This window comes from Homo sapiens, chromosome 5 (genome assembly GCF_000001405.40).
Source record: "Homo sapiens chromosome 5, GRCh38.p14 Primary Assembly".
NCBI lineage: Eukaryota > Metazoa > Chordata > Mammalia > Primates > Hominidae > Homo > Homo sapiens.
The window spans coordinates 74,537,654-74,547,120 of NC_000005.10; the positions used below are offsets into that span (position 1 = coordinate 74,537,654).

General features: G+C 44.4%; 1 annotated feature.

Moving 5' to 3' along the window:
• Positions 5,033-5,594: an enhancer, noted in NCBI's record as "H3K27ac-H3K4me1 hESC enhancer chr5:73838511-73839072 (GRCh37/hg19 assembly coordinates)". NCBI's record gives its function as "activates a minimal SCP1, AML or CMV promoter by ChIP-STARR-seq in naive H9 embryonic stem cells {active_cell/tissue: H9 hESC(naive)}" and the evidence as "EXISTENCE:reporter gene assay evidence [ECO:0000049][PMID:30033119]".

Consider the following 9,467-nt stretch of genomic DNA (forward strand, 5'->3'; position numbering starts at 1 on the left):
CACCTCTGCCTCCCAAAGTGCTGGGAATACAGGCGTGAGCCACCGTGCCCAGCCAGGAATCCACTACTAAATAATAAACACCTCTTAGTGCCTCTGGCCCAAATGCCCAGTTAACTGTGGCCCAGTTTCCCTGGGTGTTGGCTGAGTGTTTAGCTGGGGCAGAGAGCCAATCAACAAATTAGGGGCATTGATCCTTTTTATTATCTTTGTTTTTATCTCTCACTTCTGACCTGCAACAACATCCCATTGTCAGCTCAGATTCTGGAGCGTTTAAACCCTTCCCCTGCCACTGAGAAAGCGTTTTTCTAATGAGGAAGTAGTGTGACTGCAGAACGGTGGTACAGTAGGAGGGATCTCCCCCGGTACCCATCACGCAGGGACAGACTGGCTCTGGGTTCTACTCCTAACTTCTCTCATCATTGGTACTACTCTCCACGACCATCATTTCAGAGAAATTTCTCTGCTTTGGTATATACAGGAATTTGACCTGGGATTTGTGTGAAATATTTACATTGTTTTTCATTTGGGTAGATGGCCTCAGAACAATGCAGTTCCCAATTTCCTTGTGCTGTTCTCCTTTGCTTGCAAGCAGGACAGGAGCAGAGAATTAGAGGAAAGGATTTCACTGAGTGGCGTACAGTCTTTCCTCCAAACTTTCCATGGCAAACACAGTGTTGATCTATACTTGTGAGAACCTCCTGGGGCTGCATGTACTTCCTAATGGGCCTGGCTGCCAAGTTGCCTCTTGTGGGACTGACCTGGAGCCTCTAGAGCAAGGGTCAGGAGACAGGATGCAGGGTTTATGTCACTGTCCGAACTGGGAGCACAGGCTGAGCTGCCCTACAGTGGGAACCGAAGGCTCAGACATTACTTCACATCTCAGCAGAATGATGCAATGATAGCTCTGCTGCAAGTTCTGCTAAACAGCTCAATGTTTGGTTCTCCATCCTCAGTAATATTCTTGTCACTGAGCCAATGGCCTCATCAAAGGAACTAAGCAAGGATCCTCTAACAGCCTTTTTTCAGTTATTGGTAAGAACAGTAATAATTGTGGGTTCCCTATAACAAGCACTGTGCAAAAGCCATAAAAGGGAAAAATGGCCCTGTTTTTCCAGCATCACATCTTCCTAAAGATTAAGTATTTCTATATCAACCATTCAACCATTCATTGAGCAGTCTTCATGAGCATGGCAATATGCTGGGTGATGGGTTTGCTGGTGAATGAGTTCAACTCATCCCTGCCCTCAAGGAACTTACAAGACACCATAGAGGACAGATGGATGCAGAAAAACTAGATTGTTCTAAGTGCCATTGGGGAGACCTAGAGCCACATGGAAGGCAAGTCCATTTCTTTTTTTTTTTTTTTTTTTGAGACAGAGTCTCACTCTGTCACCCATGCTGGAGTGCAGTGGTGCGTTCTCAGCTCACTGCAGCCTCTGCCTCCTGGGTTCAAGCAATTCTCATGGCTTAGCCTCCCGAGTAGCTGGGATTACAGGTGCATGCCACCATACCCTGCTAATTTTTGTATTTTTAGTAGAGACAGGGTTTTCCCACGTTGGCTAGGCTGGTCTTGAACTCCTGACCTCAAGCAATCTGCCCGCCTAGGTCTCCCAAAGTGCTGGAATTACTGGTGTGAGCCACCACACCCAGCCAAAGGCAAGTCCATTTCTAGCTGAGGAGGGGCAATCAGGAGTTGGGCTGTGTTGAGTTATCCTTGTGCATATCTTGTACTCAGAGCTTATTTATCTCTATTAGAACCCAGCAAGCCTGGTGGTGTAAACGTCATCTCTTCTCTATATCAGAATGTAATGGAATAAGTTTTTTATCTAAAACCTCACTTGGTGTAGCCTTTATATTATTTCCACTGTGATAGATGAAAGAAAAAAAGAGCAGTTTAGAATGATATCTAATAATAAACCTTACTGGTCATTCAAGATCTAGTGATATTCATTTGAAATCTGAAAAGGATTTCTGCCAGAGAATCAAGGCCTGAGGTTGTCTTCATTTCTTTACCATAACTCCCCTGCCTCCTTCTATCAGCAACGTACTCTCAGCACACCCCCAATTTCCTCTTCCCACTGCCTAAAACCGCATCTCCCAAAGACGTAACCTGGCAACCCTACCCAAGAGGCCCTTCCCACCACTCACCTGTTCTTTCTCTACAAGAGCAGCCTATCTGTTTCATTCATGAAATATATCACCATTTGTAATGTTTCTTTCTTTTTTTTCTTTTTTTTTTTTTTTTTTGAGATAGAGTCTTGCTCTATTGCCCAGGTTGGAGTGCAATGCCACGGTCTCGGCTCACTGCAACCTCTGCCTCCCAGGTTCAAGCGATTCTCCTGAGTAGCTGAGTAGCTGGAATTACAGGTGCCCGCCACAACGCCCAGCTAATTTTTATATTTTTAGCAGAGACAGGGTTTCACCGTGTTGGCCAGGCTGGTCTTGAAGTCCTGACCTCAGGTAATCCTCCCACCTTGGCCTTCCAAAGTACTGGGATTACAGGCATGAGCCACAGTGCCTGGCTGTAATGTTTATTTTCTTATCGGCAATCTTCCAGAACACACTGTAAGCTCTTTAAGGACAGAAGATAGCAGATGTGAAAAAATTGTTGCATGAATAAATTAGCAAATAAATAAGTAGTAGCACTATTACTTTAGGAAAGTCCTCATAGCGCTCTAGACCATGGTCGCCACACCCGTCAAATAAAAGAACTCACAAGGATCCAGGCTGAATATTCTATGATTCTAGGACTTGGTAAAATCAGCACTAGTGCTTCACCAGAAAATGCGAAGCAACCCTGACTTCAAGGCAGTTTTCCTAGTAGAAAGACATAATAGGTAATGGATGGAAGGATGTTCGGCATTCTTATCCCACTTTATAAAAAATGAAGACACCTAAATACATTTTGTGTATAAAAAGAGGCTCCTCCACACATGCAAGTAGATTGATTCAACCTGTGTCAGCAGCCAGGGGCCCTGGAGTCAGCCCCTCCACTGGAGGACACTAGCAAGAAGATATTTGCAAACTACTTTTTCTGATGGAGTCAAGAGAACCTCTGGTCTAACCCATGAGCTTGCATTAGTGCCTCAGCTCAGCCTAACTCCAGCACCATCTTATAGATCCTGAAAGTGGGTGGTCTGGAGCTCCGCTTCTAAACTTCCTCAGATTCAAGCAAATTCCACATTCATTTGAAAGACAGAGGCCAGAGGGATTGGCTGGATCAGGGAGGTTGGTAAATACAGTGCCTTTTTTTTTTTTCTTTTATCAACAGGAAATACAAGCTCCAGTTCTGGATGAAAGGGAAAAAAAAATCATTGAAAGTAATTTATATCTGAAACTGTTTAGTAGTGTCATCCTAATTTACAACAGAACCAATTCCAAATTAAAAAAAAAAAAGTCTTTTTCTGTTTCCTGTTAGCAAAGAACATGGGGTTATTTAAAAAAAAAAAAATCCACTGGATTTTCCCAAGTGTTGATAAGGTCTGGAATCCTGCAGATCTCATGAGAAGAATTCAAAACTCCTAATTAAAAGTTTTGTTCTCACAGTCAAATCTTGAAACTGTGCCGTTTGGCTTCACTTCTCTATGGTTAATTCATTTTGATCTTCTTCCAAAAGATAAATTGACAATGTGGGATGAACCATTATCAGAAGCTTATTAATTATTATTATTTCTGGTTTTGAAAGGAGAAGAATTTTGCTGTAACATACCTCACCTCATACGGAACCCAGGGCTATGAGTGAATACATGTTGAATGGAATCTTTCCTGGATTAGTGACAATTGTTCATCTCTGGGGCTAGCCAGGTAGGGAGAAATTGTTTATTAAATAGATTACACAATCTATTGGGCTCAGGTTGAATATAGTGACAGGAAACTGAAAATAGTCCTGACATTGGATGACTTGGTGTTTTTCGTAATTTTAAACAGATAATTCAGATGCTGGTGTTTTGGAAGGCTGCCCAAGATCTGCTCTCCATATAAGCAAACTATAAAATGCAAACTAGGGCTATGACAGCCACCTACCTCTTTCCCTGAGGCAGACTTCATACTTCCTGAACCAAAATACTTGTCTGACCACAATACTGAATATTTGGAATTGGGACTGTCCCAGAAATCTGGGACATATATGGTAAGGACCTGAAGCCTGTAGTCAAATTGGAGTTTTCTTAGATGCTTGGTTAAAATTTAAATATTTTCAAGTCCAGTCCATTTATAACTTAGTGTACTAAGTTGTACTCAAAAAAGATGTACCAAAAAAAATGATGTACTCAAAATGTACACATTAATGCAGTGGTGGAGTTAGCTAGGTAACCTCCTTTTGTTAGCAAAAATGAGAGTCTTACTTCTGAGATCTTCAGAGACCATTTGGAAATTTCTGGAAGGGAAATGGCATGGATGCCCTTTCTGCTACCAAGACTGTCAGTAGTTACACAAAATTATATTATTAAAAGTCCCCAGATGGGAAGTGGCTCATGCCTGCAATCGTAACACTTTGGGAGGCTGCGGTGGGAGAATCATTTGAGTCCAGGAATTCAAGACGAGCCTGGGCAACATAGGGAGACCTCATCTCCACAAAAAATTTAAAAATTAGCCAAGCATGGTGGTGCACACCTGTGGTCCTAGCTACTCAGGAGGCTGAGATGGGAGGATTGCTTGAGATGGGAGGTTGAGGCTGCAGTAAGTCGTGATTGTACTGGGGCACTTCAGCCTGGGTGACAAAGCAAGACCCTGTCTCAAAAAAAAAAGGTCCCTTTTCCCTATTAAACAGTACATCTGTGTTTGGAAAGCTTTGGGTAGAGGACCCAGGTAGGAAGGCCATCCTTGTGCCCAGGTGGCAGCAGCCATTGAGGGTCTGAGGGAAGTCCAAACCAAAGGTTAGCCCAGGACCATTCTCCTCAGAGACTAGAAGGTCTCTCCATCTTAGGACTGAGGCTACCTGAAACAAGGAGGAAAGGTGATGCTGAATGGAATCCGTGTTAATCAAGAGAAGGGCCTTTCCTGTGGTTTATGCCTCTCTTCATTACTCACCAGCAGGCTCTGCTGGCGCCTGAAGCCTCTTCCAGTGTTGACATCCTTTTTGGCCATTTCTAGCAGTGTCTTTACAGAAAACAGGGTGGGGGAAGACATAAGAGGCAAAACTCAAATAGCCTAGTTTTCCCAACCTTTACAACTAAAATATTTTTCTGAACAAAAAATGGGAAAGTCGTGGCAAATAATCATGCCTGATAGTTCTGTTCCCTTTGCCCATGCGTGACTGAAACTGAGCCAGAAGGATTGAATTTTCTTACTCTATTTTACCTTTTTATATATTTTTTAAAATCATATTTTGAAGGCACACAGGAGCTTTTCTTTAACCCAAGAGTGGCACCCTGTTATAGATATTCTCCAGTGACCCAACTCCCATCCCCTCGCTTTTCTATAAAAGGAGCCTGGAGTTATAAGAAAGACAGGACAGCCCTCCAAACCAGGACGTCATGGAGAGGTCAGCCCACCCAAAGAAGATGCAGCACATGCAGGGTGTGGAGAGGGAAGTTCACGGGTGACGGGAGACACTGCCCTACGCCGCTAAATCCCTGCAGCCTCCTCCCCCTCATCCCTGTAAAAGTGAGTCAGAAGAGCTCACTTGTCAGACTCCTCCCAGCCCAGAGTTGAAACAAGCTTTCCCCCACTCCATGCTCCACAAGCCACAATGCTCCAAGCCTCCTCAAATTCATCCATGAAGCTCTGTGGGGCCTGCAGGCAGGCACATTCCAAAAAAAGACCTGAATATTTTATTGACAGTGGAACCCTAATTAGGTGGTTTCTATAGTCGCCGATTTCTCTAGCACTTGAAGGCAGAAGTCAGCGTTTTTGTCCCCTTCTAATTTGCCCTCTCTACCCCTCACACTCCAGACCCAGGGCTGCTGGCACCCCTGCTGAGAAGAATAGATGGGGAAGAAATATTTCCGGGATTAGTCTCATAAATCTTTCACTGGCTTCCCTGGAAATTCTCTACCCTTGAGCAACGGGGGTGTGGGGTGAGGGGAGGAGTCAGATCACTCCTGACTCATTAGCGTGTTTCCACGATGTGCCAGCTAGATCATCTAAAAATTATTCAGCTGCCCAGGAGGAAAGCCTTTTTGCCAAACTACAGGCTTATTCGAAGAACTTAATGCAATCCTCAGCCCTGGCATCCAACCACAAAGCCCAGCAAGCTCTTCAGAGAGCCATTTCCTGACCCCAGAGGCAGTCAGTGACCCCCTGGAGTGGATTTTTACATAGAGATACTGTCCTTAGCCGCAAAGCTTTCTAAAGAAGGGATTTGGGAAAGAAAATCTATTGTGTTGTTGGCTTTGTGCGTGTCTGAAAGAAGAGAAGTCATAAAATCTTTGTGTTCTTGATGGAGTGAGTTCCAGGAAATATTACCTTTCCCTTATCAGGTCCCCATGAATTGAATCAGGCTGATAACATAGCCTTCAGGTTTCCACGTGTGCATTCACCACCTACATTTGCAAAAACTCTTCCTTTTTCTGTTTTGTCCTCTCTCATATCTAAAAGATTTTATCAGCACTTTCTTGCTGTATCTGTGTCTGTTTTCAGTCCCTTGTTGGTGTTCTACGTGGTATGTCCAATTTTATTAATAGCAGGAGGCCGGGTGTGGTGGCTCATGCCTGTAATCCCAGCACTTTGGGAGGCCGAGGCAGGTGGATCACTTGAGGCCAAGAGTTCAAGACCAGCCTGGCCAACATGGTGAAACCCTGTCTCTACTAAAAATACAAAAAATTACCTGGGTGTGATGGCACATGCCTGTAGTCCCAGCTACTCGGAAGGTGAAGGTTGCAGTGAGCTGAGATCGCACAACTGTGCTCCAGTGTGGGTGACAGAGCAAGACTCTGTCTCAAATAATAATAATAATAATAATAATAATAGCAGAAGTTACCATTTATTGAATGCTGACTGTGTCAGCCACTGTGACCCTACATACATTTGTTCATTGATAACTGTTTGTTCATTGCAAAGTAGATCTTTAAAAGCCTATGATCCAAATGAGGAAACCGAGGTTTAGAAATATAGCTAGAAAGTACTAGTCAGGACTCAGAGCCCGCGCTGTCTGACTCCCAAGCATTTTCTCTCAGCCACTTCACTGAAACACAGACAGCCCGGGAGATGTGCATTGCTTTAGGTTAACACCCATATCCAGGCACATGCTGCAGAGCCTGAACGATGTCCTCACTGTCACCTCCCCAACCCTCTGAAGATGGTGATGGAAATGAGTGAGCCATGACAATTTCTGCAGAAAGATTCTAAAGTGTTGTCAGAAATCTTGAGGCCAGGAGCATATCTAGCTCCCTAACCCACAGCAGGGTGTTAAATAGGTTCCTGATGACATGCTTTTGATAAAGAAAGAGAGTTCCTCAGGCAATGGAGACTGGAGATCAGTGAGGGGAGGGGTGTTAGAGGAGCCCCACAGGGAACAGAACCTGGGGTGCTATCGCAGGCAAGAAGACAAGTCAGAAAGCATAGACCTAGCACAATTATGAACAGAAAAGGCCATTGTTTGGTAGTCTGAGGTTTTGTAGAGGGTCAAAATTGTAACAGAAGTCCCTCTGCAGTGAATTTTGGACTCCAAAGCTCTTTAGGATTCTCTCTTCCCCAATACTAAGTCTCGCAACATGGGCTGAAAAACTGCTAGAGTCAATGAAGTCTGACTTCAAAAAAATTATTGGAGCTAATTAGAAAAGGCTTAGTTTTGACATCTTCAGTCATCTTTAGTCCTTAGTTTTCCCGCTGATCAAATATATCCATTCATTCCAATCTAATGAAGGCCTGCTGTACATAGGGCTTTTCCCTAGCACTGTGAGAGATGCAAAACATATTGGACACGATCCCTAACCCTGAGTTGCTTGCTCTCTAGGTTGCAAAGCAAGAAATGTGCACATAAAAAAGGTGAATAAAAATATTTCAGACGCCAAGCCGGGCACGGTGGCTCATGCCTGTAATGCCAGCACTATGGGAGGCCGAGGCGGGCAGAACACAAGGTCAGAAGATTGAAACCATCCTAGCTAACACGGTGAAACCCTATCTCTACTAAAAATACAAAAAATTAGCTGGGCGTGGTGGCAGGCACCTGTAGTCCCAGCTACTCAGCAGGCTGAGGCAGGAGAATGGAGTGAACCCAGGAGGCAGAGCTTGCAGTGAGCCGAGATCGTGCCACTGCACTCCAGCCTGGGCGACCGAGCGAGATTCCTTCTCAAAAAAAAAAAAAAAAGTGTATATATATATATTTCAGACACTATCCCCACTTTGAGGCCTAGTAGACACCTTGAACTTTAACATGTCCAAAACAGACCCTGGTTTTCCCAGGATCTTGACCCATCCCTTTCACTGTTCTCCTAATCCTTCTTCAAGGCTCAGTTTATCTCACCCCCTCTATGAAGTCACTATGAGGCCATCAAAAAACACTTTAACCTGTGCCCCTGTCAGGCTTCTGCCACTTTGACCTCAGTAAACAGCAACACTTACCACCCAACTTCCCAAGCCAAGACCAAGACATCCCCACAACTACATCAATCAGTCAACCAGGACCACCATCTTTGTCTTCCAAACATACCCCAATTTGCACCCTTCTCTCTCTCTCTGCACTCACCACCATCACTCACTCAGACCGTTGCAATAGCCTCCTCACTAGGCTCTCTATCTCCACTTGGTTGATCTACCACTGTTTGCCCACACAGCAGACAGACTGATATTTTTAAAGTAAGTTTAAACATATCATTCTTTGGCTTAAAACCCTCAAACGTCTCCCTGTCACACCTAACTTAAATCTAAAACCTGCTACTGGCCAGGCATGGTGGCTCATGCCTGTAATCCCAACGCTTTGGGAGGCTGAGGAGGGTGGATCACCTGAGGTCAGGAGTTTGAGACCAGTCTGGCCAATATTGTAGAACTCCATCTCTACTAAAAATACAAAAATTAGCTGGGCGTGGTGGCAGGTGCCTGTAATCCCAGCTACTCAGGAGGCTGAGGCAGGAGAATCGCCTGAACCCAGGAGGCAGAGGTTGCAGTGAGCCAAGGCCACACCACTGCACTCCAGCCTGGGCAGCAAGAGCGAAACTGTGTCCCAAAAATATAAATAATAATAATAATAAAACCTTCTACCTGAGGCTACCAAGCTGTGCCTTACCAGAGGTTCCCCTGCCCTTGGGACCACCTCTCTCACCTGCCCTTCCTCATCCCCACAGGCAATAGGCTTTCTTTCTCTTCTGGCAACCACTAAGCTTGTTCTATTCTTGAGGCATTCAACTTGCTATCCTCTTTACCTAGAAAATTCTTCCCCAGATCTTCCTAGGGCTAACACATCTTATGACTCAGATCCAGTTTAAATGTTCCCTCTTTGGAAAATCCTTTTCTGCACAGCTAACCCAAAATAGACCATCAAATACTTTCAAGTCCATCACCGTTAAATCTTCATCATAGCACTTATCACT